At 51.2% G+C, this 17,683-nt stretch overlaps 1 protein-coding gene and 1 long non-coding RNA gene across 7 annotated transcripts in view, besides 2 other annotated features; one reads left to right on the top strand and one right to left on the bottom strand.

Moving 5' to 3' along the window:
* The window catches only part of VANGL2 (VANGL planar cell polarity protein 2), a 28,107-nt gene extending 16,894 nt beyond the window's left edge, over nucleotides 1-11,213 (bottom strand). The window contains exons 1-2 of one of the 4 annotated variants that reach the window (XM_005245357.2): nucleotides 10,515-10,602; nucleotides 3,143-3,321 (exon numbers count right to left, since the gene is read on the bottom strand). The gene's annotated coding sequence lies outside the window, so the exon portion shown is untranslated. Of the gene's footprint in view, nucleotides 1-3,142; nucleotides 3,322-10,447; nucleotides 10,603-10,907 lie in introns of those variants that run through there. The other 3 variants (NM_020335.3, XM_011509804.2, XM_047426020.1) reach the window with 3 other exon arrangements.
* Nucleotides 884-1,178: a silencer, noted in NCBI's record as "tiled region #8449; K562 Repressive non-DNase unmatched - State 7:EnhWF". NCBI's record gives its function as "represses a minimal TATA promoter and a strong SV40 promoter by Sharpr-MPRA in K562 cells {active_cell/tissue: K562}" and the evidence as "EXISTENCE:reporter gene assay evidence [ECO:0000049][PMID:27701403]".
* Nucleotides 1,601-2,476: an enhancer, noted in NCBI's record as "H3K27ac-H3K4me1 hESC enhancer chr1:160379091-160379966 (GRCh37/hg19 assembly coordinates)". NCBI's record gives its function as "activates a minimal SCP1, AML or CMV promoter by ChIP-STARR-seq in primed H9 embryonic stem cells {active_cell/tissue: H9 hESC(primed)}" and the evidence as "EXISTENCE:reporter gene assay evidence [ECO:0000049][PMID:30033119]".
* Nucleotides 3,522-17,683, top strand: part of LOC105371466 (uncharacterized) — a 30,841-nt gene continuing 16,679 nt past the window's right edge. The window contains exons 1-4 of one of the 3 annotated variants that reach the window (XR_007066685.1): nucleotides 3,534-3,774; nucleotides 3,889-3,973; nucleotides 5,452-5,605; nucleotides 7,385-7,873. This is a non-coding gene — a long non-coding RNA (uncharacterized LOC105371466). Of the gene's footprint in view, nucleotides 3,775-3,888; nucleotides 3,974-5,451; nucleotides 5,650-7,384; nucleotides 7,874-17,683 lie in introns of those variants that run through there. The other 2 variants (XR_922199.3, XR_007066686.1) reach the window with 2 other exon arrangements.

Raw genomic sequence — 17,683 nt, 5'->3', positions numbered from 1 at the left:
GTACCAGTCCCCTTTTGTTCTGAGCTGCCCAGCCTAGTGCCCCCTATCTTCCTCCCCTGCTACTTACTAAAGACTCAACATGAATCCTGCTCCCCTGGCCTGCCAACCCAAGTCAGAGTGCCCAAAAAGCACCAAAACACGCTTGTCTCCTCCCTACCAAACACAGGTGCCAAAAATGAACCCGACTTCTGAGACCCTTGCCTGCTGTGTCTTCAAGTACACCAGGGAACTAATCCAAGCACTGCTGCTGGGGGGCCTGGGAGGAGGGAGGAGAGGGGAGTAAAGAGAAGGGCAGAAGTTCCCCTTATTTAATCAGTCTCAGGGATCAGGGGTTTGGAGGGTCCCCTGGGTGGGCAGCGTTCCCAGGGAAGAGATGGGGGGAGGGGATGGCTGGATGAGATCAACAAGTGGAAACGTCAAGAGGGATGACGAGACAGGGAGGGAAGTCCGGACTTGGTGCAGGACAGGGAGCTGCCCTAGTCTGGGGAAGGGGGAGGCTATAGAAAAGGAATGTGCCCCACTGCCTTTCACCTTGCCCCCCACTTCCCAAGACACAAACACACACACTCAGTCCCCTGCTCAAACCAACCATGGATTATCTGGGGTTAAAATGAGGCCAGGGAGGAGAGAGGGAGAGAAGAGAGAGCCTGTTACAAAAAGGAGACCCTTCTCCCCTCCAAAGGCCTTTCAGAAATAAAATTAATGGAATGTGTCTCAGTATCATCCCAAGGGGATTGGGGGGGAGCTTGGCAGGGGGGAATGTGGGGGCTTTTGTCCCTGCTGCCCAGCTTCTCCCACATTGATCACCATGGCAACAAAAGCCCCCTGTTGCCTAGGTGATGGCAGCCGGGTCCTGGAACCCATACCCAGCATCCAAAGGGAGGGAGGTTATGGAGGTGGGGGCAATAGGGACAGAGGAGGAGAGAATGGGGTTTCTCCTCTGGCGGCCCCAGCTTTTGTCTGAGCTCTGGGATCAGGTTTCTTCAGGAAACAATTGGAGGCCTCTGGAAAAAATACACTCAGAACCTGGCAACAGGCAGAGGGAGCAGGGCCCTAGAGTAGTGCGTGCGTGCGTGCGTGTGTGTGTGTGTGTGTGTGTGTATAAGGGGGGTGGGTGTTGGCCAAAACACAGACCAGGGCGGACCAACCCTTTCCCATTTCCCACTCAAAGGAGGCGGCTCAAGTGGGCAAGGCGTTGAACACAAACGCCAGCACCCCCATGTGTGGCGCGTGCTGGGGGCCGATGACCAGACGCAGGCAGCTCCAGACGCCACCTCCTGCCACTGCTCTAGCCCGGGCCCACCCCGCAGCCCAGTCCCGGCTACTTTAGGCCTGGGGTGAGGTAATGAGACAGAGCATAGATGCAGACGGGGCTGGGAGAAAGAGCTGTGGAAACCAGGGTGAGTAGGCCACGGAAGAAAAGGGGGGCAGGGACAGAGCAAAACATGTACCTAAAAAGGGCACCTAGTGTTCCTCATCTCCACCGAGGACAGGGCTGGAAGCAGCTGAGAAGGGTGCTTGGGTTTGATTTTTAAAAGACTTCCAGCCAGACGGGAAGACGATGGGAAAGAGGACAAGAAGCCTCAAGTTCTCCTCAGACAGGGGCAGAGATCTCTGATAGGACCATTTTTCTCTCCGTAGTCAGGGACTAGGGAAGGGTGGTTCTGCCTGAACACAGGGAAATGGGTGTGATTACTGCTTCAGAACCTGCCTGAAGAGTCGTCTGTGGGCCCCTGCCCACTAAAGGTCTCCGATTCCTACTCAGGAGCCTGGGTCTTCCTGCATATGCCTTGCACCCCTTTCCCACTGCAGCCCGTGGGCAGGGGTATGCATGTGGGCACCCCCTAGCTGCCTGGCTCCCTAATCATCACCATCCATAGTGCCAAGGTCCAAGGATATCAATATAAGTTCCACTCAAAGTGCTGGAAGCCCACCTTCAGCCATGGAGGTGGCAAGAACTAAGCCCAGGGTCCAACCTCCCAGCCCAGGATCCCAGGAGCTAGCTCTCCGTGCTAGCTCAGAGTACAGTCAGAGTACCTCACCAAGGCCTAAGGCCAGTGCAAGGCAGAGCAGAGACTCGAGACACAGCTGTCGCACTTCAGAGCCTTGCTTGGTTTTCCTCCTTGTCACACACCTCCCCTGAGTTTCACAGATGTGCTCAACCCAGGCAGCGCTGTCAGGCCCTGGTGGGGGGCTGAAGTTGATGGGTGTGGGTTGAAAATGCAGACATCCAACACAGCTTCCACAGACGGAAGGAAGGTACCTGAACCTCTGACTATGCCCATATCATTCCCCTGACACCCCTTCCCCTTTCCCTTTCCCTTTCCCTTTTCCCTTCAGGAGGACACAGCTGGCTGAACCACCCTCTTCTCAGCAGTTCCCAGCACCAAGCTGAAAGGGGCCTTAGAGGGACAACCTCAAATTTTACAAATAAAAAAGTGGGACCCAGAGAGAGAAGGTGACTAGCCCATGGCCACTACTTCTACGGCAGCCCATTTCTGGCCTCCTCTAATTGTTGGAAAATCGTAGTAACACTGACTTTGAGGAGTGCTCCTCTTGGAGTGAGACCAGGTTTCTCCATGAGACTGCTCTGGACACTGGTTCCTTGAGTAGCCACAACTGCAAGAGGGCCACGACAGGAGAGGATTTGCTGACTCCGTCCTGCCCCCTCTTCTCACCAGGGACAAAGAGACAGAGACTAGACAGGCCTCAGCTAAGACAGCCAGAACCAAAGAGCCTCTATCCCCAAAAGGGGTGGTTCCTGCACCCATCCATCTACCACAACTAAGAACCTTGATGTTCCTTCATCCCCATCCAGCCTTGGGCTATGGGCAAGCCACCCATCCAGAGAGGCTGGGCTTTTGCTATCACCGAAAAGACTAAGGTACAGAGTGGGCAAGGACCAGCTCCAGCCCTGGACCAAAAATAGGATGAAGATTTTGCCCTGACCCTCATTCCTAAACCCTGAAAAAGGCTGTCCTTGGGTGACAGTGCTGCCCAGGAGGCCAGAGAGAACAGCTGTATCTTGGTGGGCTGAGGGGTGGGAAGGGCAGAGCAGGGAGCCCAGGAGCTGGCACCAGGTGCCCCACCCCCGCCCTGTTAACCAGGCATTCTCCCAGGACAGCCCCAGAGATGAGCTCACCATCCTCATAGCCCCAGGGTGGGGGCAGGATCCTTCTCCTCACTGGGCTGAGTGGCAGAGGAGGGGTGGGATCCTGGCCATGCTTGTGTCATCCAGGCATCTAGGCTTCCAGAGCAGCTTCTCACCAGCAGACCCCAGTGCAGGGTGCACCGCAGGGGAAGGGCCCACAGACTGGGCTCCTGGCCAGGATACCTGAGCTTGCATTCTACCTCAAAAGCAGTTGGGGAAGCCAGAGCCAAGCCCCTCTCCACCTACGTCCTGAATTTCCCTCAGTCTAAGGCTGGGGGTGAGGCCGAGGACCTCTAAATCCGCAAACACACCAAAATACCCACCCATACGCATACACACCCACACTCTGTTCCCCCTCTGAAACCTGGAATCACTCCTGCCTGCCCCACCCAGCTCCACCCACCCTGGCTAGGCAGGTTCTGTAGAGACCTGCTCCGCTGTCTCTCTGGCACCCCCACCCCCATCCCAGCTCCCAGAAGGTACCTGCCCCCCAACACAGCACACAAAAGCAGACACGTGTGCACATTCATGTCCCATAGCACCCCATTCCCTAGCCTTCCCCAGACCCATTCCTAGTCCGTCTTGAAGAGAACACTGGGGGTGGAAAGGCTGCAGGAGAAAAGGTGAGTAATGCCCCTGGCATCTGTCCCAGGTGGGGGCCGGCGGGAAGACGGGACACTAAGCTGGTGGGAAGGCAACCAGGGCTTCTGGATTCTCCATTTAATTTTTACCAACAGGCAGGCCCCACAATTTCCACCACCAGGCTTTGAGCTGCTTCCTCCCTTGGCCTAGGCAGAGAACTGGCCCGTACCTGCCCACCAGGTGAGCTGTGGAAGAACCAAGAAGGAAAGCAGGCAGCTTGAGGTGTCTTCAGGGAGAGGGTGGACAATGGGAGGTGGGTGAGTTGTGCTGACCCGTAAGTCAGTGAGTGTCCTGTACACTCCAAAAACAAATGCCCCCCTCTTCCTAGCCTGCTGCTCGAGGTAGGCCCCAACTGTCCCTGGCCCCAAAAGACCTTCAAAGCCTGCTCACCCAGCCCCTGCCCTGGGGTGCAAAGATGTGAAAAGCAGCTAGTTGGGAAGGGGAAGTTAGCCAACCTCGGGCTTGCTGTGGATGGGGAGAGTTGAGCTGTGAGGATGGAGTGTGAGGGAAGAACATATGGGGGCACTGTCAGCAAAGGCTGGATTGTAGGAAAGTGGTAGAGTGGGCCTCAGGGTGTGAGATGCAGTGTGACTGGGGATGAGGGTGGCAGGGCTGGGTATCCCCATCCTGAGAACCTCCTGTTGCCTCAGCCCAATGCCTTGGATCTGGCAACTTGGCCAGTTCTTATCTAGAAAACCAGATCCAGCTGAAAGGCCCAAGTACCAGCCGGCCTCCACCATCGCGACCACCCCCCTACCTGAGATTCTCACTCTTTGCTGAAAATTCTCAACTCTCCCATCCCTTATATCTGCCACCTCCATTCCTGAAGTAAAGCAGGTGTCAAAATGCATGTTTTTGTTCACAGTCTGTTGTTTTTTAAGTGACTGCATTCACACTTCGGGCTCAGCACCTGTTCCTATCTAAACCCTACTTACCCTAAAAAACCAGACCCCCTGGGCCGGGCGTGGTGGCTCACGCCTGTGATCCCAGCACTTAGGGAGGCCGAGGCAGGTAGATCACCTGAGGTCAGGAGTTCCAGACCAGCCTGACCAACATGGTGAAACCCCGCCTCTCCAAAAAATGCAAAATTAGCCAGGCATGGTGGTGCATGCCTGTAATCCCAGCTATTCGGGAGGCTGAGGCAGGAGAATCACTCGAACCAGGGAGGCAGAGGTTGTAGTGAGCCAAGATCGCGCCATTGCACTCCAGCCTAGTCAACGAGCGAAACGGTTTCAAAAAAAAAAAAACCAGAACCCCCTCCCTAGACCCACAAACAAACACACCCTCTCTCTCTGACCAGGCTGAGGGAGCCAAGAACACTCTGGTGAAAACAGGAGTCTGAAGGACATTGTTAGGGGCTGTGAGAAAACCCTACAGACAATAAGGACCAGGCTCCTCCCATTCACAAACAAGACCCCACGGGCCATGGTGGCCGGAGCCTACAGTCACTCCTTTACCCCAACCCCCATCCAAAATCATGGCCCAGCAAGGAGAAAGAGACCCACCCCAGGAGAGGTTTCTGCCCAGATGCTGGCCCCGCCCCAGGCTTATGACACCAAGGTGCTCCTCCTGGAGATGAGATCGTTCTCTGACTCCCACCCTCAAGGGTAGGCTTCTCTACTCCTCAGGCTGACACTGGACTCATGTTTGCTTTTCAGAAAACAGGGGAATTACTCAAGTGCAAGATTAAAGGCAATAATGAGCAATCAGACCGAACTGGAATGACAGTAGGGGAAGGTGAAGAGACTTTGGGAAAAGGAAGAGCACTGAAGTCAGACCTGGCACAGCCTTTTACGAGCTATGTAATCTCAGGTGAGTCGCTCCCCTTTTCCAAACTTCAGTTTCCTTATCTATAAAATGGCAATAATAGTGCCTACTTCAGAAGGTTAAGAGTTTTCAGCAAAATAATGTATGCAGAATATTACAGATTCTGGCACACAATAGATGCTTAAAAAAATGTTAGTTCCCACCTTTTCTCCTTTAGTGGGTCCACAGCGAATCCCCTCCACTTCCTGCTCCCATAACCTCACTGTAAGGAGAAACACCCCAAAATAAGATGGAACCACCTCTAGGTGCAGGGTTGTCCCTGTTCTAAATTAGACCACATCCAGGTACTGCCTGAGAGAGCAACCAACATGCCTCTTCCTCCTCTCTGCTTCTTTCTTCAGAGGCCCTTGGATCCCCCACCTTTCCTCCTCTCCTTCCTCCTTCCTCACTTACAGTAAAGCAGACCTGGGTTCCAATCACCTCCCACTCTCCTCTAGGCTCTAAGCCCAGCTGTGTGTGGAGCGGCAGGGGAAGGAGGCCCCAAGCCTCCCACCCTACCCAGCCCCCAGCTTCATCCCACTCTCCCCTCTCCCTGCCCCACCCTGATTACCAGGATATCCTCAGGTCTGCTGATTCCAAGCCTGCTTCTCTCAAACCAGTTCCCAGCTGTTATGTCTATAATTACCAATCTTGCCAGGGGCATCCGACAAAGCACAGCAAAACCTCATTTCCAAAGGGCCCCACCATAAAGGGCCTCTGCCTCCTACTCTGTACCAAGCAGGGTAGAGACAAGGAATGCAAACATTCTCCCTGGCCCACCACAGTTCTATCCAGACTACAACAGAGAAGGTGAGAGAGGGCTGCCCAAGCCACATCACCAAGAGACAGGATAAAGAAGGGGAGGGCCGCCGTAGGGTAGAATGTGAGTAGGACTTAGTCCCAGGCCTTTCCTTCACCTCTGCTGCCAAAATCTCATCATGCACAGGGTTACCCACCTGTGGAAGGTAAAAGGGAAAATTTCAGGTCAATTCAGAGAGAGGGGAAGCTGATGTCAAGTGAACAGGGAGATGGCTCCCCACAAGGATGAGGGTTGATGCATACAGGAGTGAGCTGCCCAGGAAAGAGGAGGAAAGAGCAAGTTTTAAAAGTCCCATCCCCAGCCCAGACCCTGAGAAGAGGCAATAATACCCTAGCCTCTCTTCTCCCCTAATACCTCCAACTCTACCAAGCCCATAGCACAAGCAGGAAAGGGATGATTAACTTTGTTTTATAGACAGAGAAACTGAGGCCAAATCCCCACTTCATACTGCAAGGTACAGGACTACCAAATACCCTGTGTGCCTTCTTGCTCACGCTCAGCCTCCACCAGGAGTGCCATCCTAAGACCCTTCCTGTTGGCCTAACTCATCCTTTAACCAGGTAAAGTCTGTCCACACAAGGGAATAATATTCAGCTATAAAAGGGAATGAAGTACTAATACATGCTACATGCTACCGTGTGGATTAACCTGGAAAACATTATGTTAAGCGAAGGAAGCCAGATTCAAAAGGTCATGCATTCTATCATTCCATTTGTATGAAATATCCAGAATAGGTACATCCATAGAGACAGGATGCAAATTGGTGGTTGCCAGGGGCTGGGGTAAGGGGAAATGGCGACAATTGTGTAATGGGTATGGGTTTTGTTTCGGGATGGTGCAAATGTTTGGGGACTAGACAGAGGTGGTTGTTGCACAGCACTGTGAATGTACTAAATGCCACTGTTCACTTTAAAATGGTTTATTTCCTATTATGTGAATTTCACCTTAATTTTTTTAAAATCCAGCTAACAGGGCATCTCCTGCAGGAACCTTCCCTGGCACCTCACCCCAGGGCCAAGCACTCTTCCTCTATGCTCCAGTGGCCTCCTGAACACACCTCCACACAGCACTCACTGGGCTGCAGTGAATCAACATGTTTTCACATGTCTCCCCTGGGAAAACATCTTATTTGCCCCTCCATCCCCTGTGCTTCACACTGTGCCTGGCAGATAGGAGAGAGTGCCTAATGTGGTCGGCCAAAGGAAGATCAGAACCAAAGCCTAGTTCTCCTATCCCGACTCCGACCTCTCTCCCTTAATGATGATTATCCCTCAGAATCCGAACCATCCAGCTAACATTTACTATGTGCCAGGAACTGTGCAACGTGCTTTCTCTATTATTTCATTTAATCCTCATAACCCCAAGAAGTAGGGCCTATTATTAATTCCATTTTACAGGTGAGGCTTCAAAAAGTTACCAGTTTTGTCTGATGTCACGGAATTAGACAGTGGCAAAGCCAGAATTTAAAAGCAAACCAGGGAAGAAAGCCACTTGGTGGGGGACCAGGGATTCCTTGTGGAAGGGCTCAGTCTAGGCTTGGAGGATGTGCCTTAAGACACCTAAGAGGCTGGGGAATGGGGTTTATTACTTGCCCAGATCACACCACTGTTAAGTACTAATTCCAACCAACTCTGACTCCTTTCTCTGGCCTCACAATGTGATGAACACTTGAGGGAAGGAGAAGACTGGAGTTCCCTAAAACTCAGAGGGGATCAGATCTCTTCCTTTTCCCTGCCAAAGCTTCTGTTAGTCAAGTTCCCTCCCCATTAACTGGAAGGACCTGGAAACCAGATGAGCAGATAAAAAACTGTCCTGCTCTAGGGCCAGGGAAGGGGGGATATTTCCTCAGATCTAAAAGGATCAGGAGGAGAGGCAAACACACCAGAGAGGCCTGCCCCGGAAGAATTAGAGGAAATAGAAGTCAGGAGCAAGACAATGGGTGAGGAGGGGCCAACGTGGCCACTGACTCCCAATCTGGAAGTACTTTCAGAAATGGCATTTCCTATTATCTGACCACAATTCCTCCTCTTTGGAAGAGAGCCCCCACCAGCATAATATATCATGCATGTGATCAGCGTATACAGAGCAAACAAGGGACCCCAGAGGGCCAGGGCACACCATCTTAGATGCAAGTGCCTTACTAGCCCTGGGAGCCCTAACTATCAGACAGGTGTTGGGTTTGGGGGAATGATCCATTAAAAAAAAAAAAAGGTCTTTTAAAGGTCTTTTCCTACTCTGCCCCGTTCCCCGTTCCTCGTTCAAACATTTTCTAACCCCTACTACTCTTATCTCCAGGCCTTAGGGAGGGTAGGGAGCCCTGAGGACTAAAGAGGGAACATTCCAATTGCACATGCCCATTAGAGACTCTAACATTCCAATTGCAATTGCCCAGAGACCATAATGGGTATGTACAATCTCACCTCAGCTCTTAAAACTGGGTGCCTCAACCCAGCCACTGGCAGCAAAAAGAGTGTGCAATGGGGGAAGGCTAGTATCCTAAAGAAGGAGGTGAGCAACCCCTTTCCTATACCCCAAAAGAGAAAGGATGAGAGAGGACAGGGAGAGAAGGGAGCTGTGGCTTCTTGGTGGAAAGAGACATTCACTTCCTGGATAGTCACTGACTTCCCACCACACTATCATGATGATGAGTATAGCAGTATAGCCTGCAATGGGTACCTGGCCCTTTCCCGACACACAGACACTCAGCCCTGGCCCCACACCCACAGCTCCATCTCAATCATGCTTGACACCAGGGAAAAGGGAAACTTTTTGGTCTGATAAACCACACAGACTCACTTGCAAAAGCTGCTGAAGAAACACCCTATGCCACCTTCTCAACCCCATGGGCAGGGAACCCAAGCTGTTCCCCACCAGGTCTCAACCCTCCAGACATGCTTCCTCCTCTTGTTTCCATCCCACACCAAAATCTCAAGACTCCTCAGGAACTTTAGGATCTTAGAGTCAGGGCAGAGTTAGAAGGCTATGAAGCAGCAAACTCTGAGACGGCTTTCCAAGAGAACTGTGGCCTGAAGCTTTTACCTAAGGCTGGGAATCCAAGAGTGTAGCTTCTCCAAGCGCTGGAACCCAGCCTATGACGATGGGGGAGGAAGTTCCTCTTATTCTTCTCCCTGACCCCGCCAATCTTCCAAATTCCTCTAGGACTACAACCAGACCCCTTGTTCCCTATTCCCCACAACACACGCCCTCTTCCAGAAAAACCCATCCCCCAAAAACAGGCACTTCATAAGACAACTCATTCCCTCCCACCCATAGGTCTCAGATACTTAAGGTACTACCCCTAAACCCAGGCGAGGCCATCCACGAAGTCTCAAAATCCTGCAGACAGCCTTCTTTTCGGGATTTTTGCCAGGAAAATCTGCCTGCAGAGTCTAGAGGTACCCCCGACACACACTCAGAAACATACATACCAGCTAAGGCAGGCACACACATTGATACCCATCAACACAGGTTACACACAAGAGAACACAGATTCACACCCCTTCCCAGTACACAGGTGCACACACACCTATCCACATACACTCCATTCTGCTCTTACACACCCACCTTCCTCAGTACCTACACACCTCTTTCCCGTGAACCCCTCTCCCAGTACACACACATAGACATACACGCCCTCCCCTAAGTATACATATAAACACATATCCAAACACACAGCAGATGCATGGTCAGCCGCTCCCTGGGTGCACACACACTCAAGCACAGAAAAACACCTACACATCCAAACCAGGGGCCCACCTGCAGGAACATGCAGCACGTCAAGGCGTGCACACACACCAAAACAAAGAATCATGCACACGGATCCTCCACCAACCCTTCAAAACTCACTAACGCAGAGCCCACAGTCCCCCAGATGGGTAAATATGAGTGGGGAGAGGGATGCCAGCGCCTGTCCCCTCGGCCCCTATACACAGTCTACCGCCTCCAGCCCCATCCTCGGTCTGTACATACACCCTATCTACTCTGCCCAACCCGCCCCCCTGACTCCACTCTACACCCTTAACGCATACCTGCCTCCGTCCCTCCCCACGCTCCTGAGGGGTGTATGCACCCCAAAACACCCTTGGCTTCCAATACCTCCAGACTCCGATCCTTCCACGCCTCTCCCCCCACCTCCAACACAAGCTCCCCGTCTCCGGCTTCAACCGGCTCCCCTGGGATCATTAAGGCCCCCGCCCGGGCCCAGGAAAGTCCCCGGCTCTCCAGGCCTGGGCTCCGCCCCCTCCCCACGAGCCCCTTCCCCTCCCCAAAGTTGGGGGGGGTACTCCGCTGTGCAGTGGGGAAGCGGACCGGAAGGGGGTTGCCCGGAGTCCAGCCCCCCTTCCCCCATAAGCCACCCCGCTCGCTCTGGGGTCGGGCACCCCCTGGCCCCTTGCATGATTTTCCTCCTTTTCCATTTCTTTTTTTCTCTCTCTTTCTTTCTTCTTTTTTTTTCAAACTTTGCCCGCGCCCCCGCGGCCCGGCACTCACCCGCCGCTGCGAACTGCCGGGTGGGCTCCGCGGGCGCCCCGCTCGGCCCGTCGCCTTTGTATCCGCAGCGCTCCGGGTCGCTCCGAACTCGGCGCTCCTGGACAGGCAGCGCGCGCGATGGGGGATGTTGAGGGGGGGGTTCTTGAGTCTGGTCACCCCCTGCTCCGTCCCAGACCGCTGCCTCTTCCCCCTCAAGGCCCCGGGGGCTGGGGGCCAGGGGGGAATAGGGGGCGCTCAGGCTCCCATGGCGGGACCAAGGATCAAGGAATCAAGGATCAGGAATCAGATCGGGAGCCGGCGGCGCAGGGGGGAGGGGGCGGAGGGGGAGGGGATGAGGGTGGGGGGTGCAGGGGGCGGGGGAGCGCGAGCTCCCGGGTGCCGCCTCCCGGCTGTTCCCACAGCCGCCGCCCCTCCTACCGCCGCGTCCATTGTCTGCGGCCCCGCTCTTCCCGGAGTCGCCGCTCCCCCAGCCCTGCGCCTTCAGATGCCCAGCGGCCCTCCCCGATCCTGGGAATCCGCGGTGGGGCTGACACTCGGGTCCCGAACGGTGGGCAGGGGAATGCCTCGATTCTTGGACTTGGCCCAGCCCGCAGTCCCTCCTGGGGCTGTCTTCCTGGACCCCTCCTGTCGGAGAAGGAGCCCCCAGATCCCTGGGGCTGGCCATATTCTCTTTAGGGCCACGGACCCGACTACACAAAATCCAATGGAATCTGGGACGTGGGAAGATTGATTTTTTTTTTCCCCCTAGGGGTCCGAGAAGGGAGGGTCATCCCTGATTTTAATTAGTGGCGAGAGGCGCACGCCTCTTCCCATGCATACGGGGATTTCCCTGACACCATCACCACCATATCCCCTCCTTCCAAAAATAATTTAATTACTTGGAGTTCTAGCTGCGAGCAGCGACCGCCCCAGTCAGTCTGGGACGCTCCCTCATTAACACATTTTTCCTCCCCTCTGGTTTGAGTGTTGGGATTAATTACAAAGGGAACCCTGCCTTAGGGAAGAAGGGGAGGAGGAAAAGACGCGGGCGCCTGGGAGTTTGAATGGCAGAGGAGAGGGGGCCTTCTCCCAGGAAACCTCCAAGAGGAAAAATGCCTTGGCCAGTTGGGTCCCCAACCCCAAGCAGGCAGATTGTCCATCCCAGGAGTTTCAGATACTTTAGAGTTGAAGGTGCCACACAGGGATTGTAGGATCTCACAAAATATCCTACACGTTTGGGGCATTTGTGCCTCCCAGTATGCCAAGAAACCAGTTAGGGTTCTTTTACATGTGACCCTACAAGAGTGAACCCACACCGTAAAAGCCTGGGCTGTGGGAAGTCCATGTTCCCCTTGGAGTAAGTGAAAGCAGTATTCAATTATCATTAATGTTATTGCCGTGCAACCCGCCACTTAGAGTAGTATCATTTCAAAAGCATCTTCACATACTTCTCCCTAAGCAGGCCAAGGCCTTTTCAATATCTCAGCCTCCTTCAGTTTCCAATCCTGGCACCTGCTTGAACAACCCTGTGATTAAGGAATCCCAGAGAAAGAGACTCCCAGCCTCTGTTCCTCACTTGTTTGGGAATTTTTGCTCCTCCCTGATGAAAACTATTTCCTGAGACCTAATCTCACCCCTTTTGATGGTTCATTCTAACCTGTCCAAAGATGAGGACAGAACCAACTATGCTGCATTGTTCAAAGATGCAGAACAGTAAAACACACTTCCTTTCTCCTTTGCCCAAACTCTGTCTTTCCTCATCCCCTCCTCCAGTAGTATGGGTAAGCAGGTGACTCAGCATCAAGACTACATGAAATATGCAGAATCATCATTTCAGGTACCCAAGTCCCTGCATGCGTCCAGGCACTCATTCACCTTGTGCCTATCATGTGCAGGCACTGGGCCGCACTGGGGCTCCTGGCAGTGACCACGACCAGGTGTATGAGGGAGTGGCAGGAGAGCTGGGGAAGGGTTAAGGGAAGTAGGGAGGACATGGGTGTCCCCAGCCCTGCCCCAAAGCACACCCCAGTGCTAGGCAGCTAGTGTGTAATTTGACACAGAGTCGGGGCTGCCGTGGCACTGTCTTGACTCTCAGGCAGATTTAGTGTGAATTATCTTCACATGCTGCTAGCCTGTTTCACAGACCCCAAAATGGCCCAAAGAACTGGAAAAAGGGCTTCTGATGCCAGAATTACAGATAATTCCATAGTCTGGCCCCACTGAAAGCTTGAAACCTAAGTCAGGATGTTAACAGACAAGGCTTCCCAATTAACAGGTATCAGGCATCAGGCTAGAATAAGCTTAGTCCCTCCTTTCTCTGACGGTGAGGTTGGGGGCTTTCAATTACATCTCTGCAATGAAAACACTGGATTACAGAGTCCAACAAAAAATTTTATTGGTGTGGTCTGTCCCATTCAGCAATTCTCTGTATTACCTTCTACCTTCACCTCAGGATAGAATCCCATCTGGATTTCACACGTCCCCAAGTCACTGAGTAAGCAAACAGAGACCCAGCTAGAAGGCCCATGTGCCCTATGGTCTAAGGGACCTAGCTTAATTCTTTAGAAGGAAGGAGAGCACTGAAATGACATTCAACTGAGATTTTCCTAAAGGGGCCAACCTACAATAACAGAGGGAGGCCAAGAGCCTGAGGGACAATAGAATGGAACAGATTGGATTTTGTACAGCTCCTGTCCTTGAGGACATAGTCGAATTTCTTAATTTCTTCAAGCCTCAATTTCTGCTTATATAAAAAGGGTCTAATGAGGTAACAGAAGGAACACCCTCCATATACTCATAGTGCCACAGTCAATTCCCAGTCGAGTTTCCCCTCTCTGTTCTGTGCCTAGGATACTTCTCTTAGGAGAGAACACTTCTCTAGGACACTTCTTTCAGTACTCTTCCTCGGGGAAGGAGGCCCCTAGCTAAAAGCCAGGGCCCTCCATTAAAGCCCTTTCAACACCTCACCAGCTCACTAGGTGGAGGTGGGGCTGGTGGGGTCAGATCAGAGGCTTCCCAGGAGCCCTGGGAGTTGGACCCTCCTGGGGAAGATTCAAGGAACTCAAGAAGTGACAGTAGACTCTCTCTGAGGGAAGGTCCAGACTATAGAGAAGCACCTACCTACTTCCTGTGTGGATGAAGCTGTCCCTGGAGGTCAGGCCCAGACCACAGTAGCAAAAGTTAGGTTTTCTGCTCTGATGAAAAGTAGGGCCTTTTTACAATGCTGCTCAGAGAAAGGGAATCCTTGGTACCTTACTCATAGAAGCTTCACACTATAGCAGAATGGCCATCAAAGTGTTTCCATGTAAGCAATTAGCAATTTTAGCCACCTCCCAGGTACAGGTGACTGCAGTAATGTACCCACATGCAGGGCCACAATCACCATCTACTTCCAGCCCTGCTGATGAGCCTGGGTACAAGTTGATCTCCCGGAATAGTTACAGATCTTTCCCCAGCACCCACCTTCCCAGAAAGGCTACTCTCAATGCTCACAAAAGGATTTCCAGACCCAGTCTATATTGGGAAATACCTGGGTTCTGGGTGTGAGGGGTTTCCCCCTTCACTTTTAGTTAAAAAAAAAAAAAAAAAAGAATAAAAGTAGCTCACACACAAAAAAACTTAACTGGTCAAGAACTGTATTATGTCATAGGCTTGTGGTGAAGTGTCTGTCATGTGAGATCCTGATCTCTAAGAAGAAGGACCATGCCTCATTCATTTCTATATCTCTGGCACATAAAATTCAATAAGTTAGCATTAGCTGCCTTCCCTTCTAGCTTCCTTCTCTTTCTCCCTTCCTCATCTATGAAACCTTGACCACTCCCTATTCATCCAACCTTTATTAAGTGTGAGTTTCCTCAAATCCAATCCCATTATCATTAATCTAAAATGTTACCTGCAATTAAACCAGTGGTTGTGAACTTTGACTGCAGATTTTAATCACCTGGGAAGCTTTGAAAACACATCAATGCCCAGGACCATCCCAGACTAATTAAACCAGAAACTTCTGAGGTGTGACCCAGCTATTGGCATTTTTTTTAAGATACCTCAGTGATTTTAATGTGAGAACCACTGAATGAAACTTTCTGATTTCCTTCCTCCTTCTTGGGAAGAATAGACACTCTCCAGCTCCCTTGGCTGGGACTAGGCCCTGCAGGTGTGCGTTATATCCTGTCCTTTCCCACCTCCATCCATTATTCACAATCTCTCCTGTAACCAACTTCGGCCTCTTCACTGATCTTTGCCCAGCAGACATAATAAAATGAAATACCTTCCTCCACTCAGCAGCCTCCTCTTGCTTTAGCCTTCGCTTTTATTTCTTTCTCATCCAACCTTCTTAAAAGAGTAGATTCTTAGGCCAGGCCTGGTGGCTCACACCTGTAATCCCAGCACTTTGGGAGGCTGAGGCGGGTGGATCACCTGAGGTCGAGAATTAGAGACCAGCCTGACCAACATGGAGAAACCCCGTCTCTACTGAAAATACAAAATTAGCCGGTCATGGTGGCAGGTGCTTGTAATCCCAGCTACTCGGGAGGCTGAGGCAGGAGAATCGCTTGAACCCAGGAGGAGGAGGTTGCGGTGAGCCGAGTTCGTGCCATTGCACGCCAGCCTGGGCAACAAGAGTGAAACTCCATCTCAAAAAAAAAAAAAAAAAAAAAAAATGGATAGATTCTTTACTATCTCTCTTCCTCCCTTCACTCCTCAGCTCCTTGCACCCCAGCCATCCTTCCAATGTGTTTTCTACTCCTGACTTCAAATACTATTATTTCCCAGAATTCAGCCTTTGGCCCCCTTACTCCCCACTCCACATGCTTTTCCAAAGCAATGTCATTCACTCCTGTGGCTTCAGTCAGTACTCACTTATGAGTGCTGCTAAATCCAGGTCTATCTTGTGAGCATAAGACTCAAATTTTCAACTTCCTACCATACATTTTAACTTGGATATTCCTTGGGTATCTTAAATGTAATAGGTTTAAAAGGAACAACATTATCTTCCTTCCACCTCTATCCCCTTGGCTTATTCAGACCTTTATCATTTCCAAACATGTCTCATTCCCTTCCAATCCGTCTTCCTCCCATGTTGCCAATGTGATTTTTATGAAAGGGAAATCAGCCTGTCACTCTCTTACCTAAAACAATCCATGGCTTCCCACTGTCTACAAGATAAAGTCAAAACTTTTTGGCACCATACATAAGAAACTTCAGGCCCCAACTCATTCGCCTTCTCCAGGCTTATCTCCTAGTGCTCCCTGTGCATTTAAAGCCCAAACTTTCAACACACGTACATCCAAACTATACGCATCTACTCATTGTTCTGCCAATTTGAGGCTCTATTACTTCTCTGCCTTCTCACAAAGTTTCCTTTGCCTAAAATGCCTTCCTCCTTCTTTCTGCCTGGAAAGTTTTGTTGATCCTTCAAGACTGAACTGTGGCCTCCTCTGCAACTCTTTACCAATTTTCCCAAGCAAAGCTAGATGACCCCACACCCGGAGAACCTCCTTTGTGCTCTCAAAGCTCTGCATACCTTTGTTTTAGCATTTATGACATTGTATGGCAATTTCTTAATAATAATTGTATGGTAATTTCTCAATAATAGCATTTTGAGGTTGGAAGAGACTTTCTGAATTTTACAGATGAGGAAACAGGTACAAAGTAAGTGCCTCATTGCCCAAAGTCATACGGCTAATTAGTGGCAGCCCCAGAACTAAAACCCGGGTCTCCTGACTTACTGTTCAGCAGTCTGTCAACTGCACCACATTTACTGAGCACGGTTTCATCTGAAATAAAGATCATGGTAGTGACTCCTAGCCTTTTGTGGACTTTTGAGACTTTGATGAAAGCTACAAGCGCTCACCAGAACAATGTACACATGTACACACACAGAATTCACATCCATTCTCAGGGCATGCTGGGGGGTATGTGTGGCATTGGTTTAAAGAGAGAAAAATCTAGAAGTAGCAAAACCAGTAAGAAGGCTAATTAAATAGTTTGGGGGCAGGGTGGTGGAGGGGAGTTGAGCCTGGCTCCAAGGCTGTGGGGATAGATAAGGATAGAAAAGAAAGCTCATTGCCGGGCACCGTGGCTCAGGCCTGTAATCCCAATACTTTGGGAGGCTGAGGCGGGTGATCACGAGGTCAGGTGTTCGAGACCACCTGGCCAACATGGTGAAACTCCGTCTTTACTAAAAATACGAAATTAGCTGGGCATGGTGGTACATGCCTATAATCCTAGCTACTTGGGAGGCTGAGGCAGGAGAATTGCTTGAACCTGGGAGGCAGAGGTTGCAGTGAGCCAAGATCATGCCATTGCACTCCAGCCTGGGCAACAAGAGCGAAACTCCATCTCAAAAAAAAAAAAAAAAAAAAGCTGAAATTTGGAAGAGATGACCTGCAGGTGGGATGAATAGGGTTGAGGAACAAAGAGGCATTTAAAATGACTCAGAGGCTTCTGGTATGTATATTAAAGAAGCTGGTCATGCCATACATAAAATTAGGGGCTATTGAGAGAGCAGGTTTAAAGGGTAGATCATATGTGGGATTTGACAGGTATCTCAGGTATCTGTGGACTATCACGGTAGGGACATCCATAGGAAGCTGTTAATAACATAAGCACTTTCCACATCTCTCCTGCCACTCTTTCTCAGGCTATCTGAACAATCTATTATTCCCTAGCCCAAACACATGCTTTACTGCCTCCAATCCCATTGTTCATCCTATTGCCTCTATATGGAGCACCTTCCTTACACCATCACTCATATGCAAAATATTTCAAGGTTCAATTTGAATATTTTCTTGAGTAAG

Source organism: Homo sapiens, chromosome 1 (genome assembly GCF_000001405.40).
Source record: "Homo sapiens chromosome 1, GRCh38.p14 Primary Assembly".
Taxonomy (NCBI): domain Eukaryota; kingdom Metazoa; phylum Chordata; class Mammalia; order Primates; family Hominidae; genus Homo; species Homo sapiens.
The sequence above is the reverse complement of the archived record's forward strand: the minus strand, read 5'-3'. Positions and strand labels throughout refer to the sequence as shown.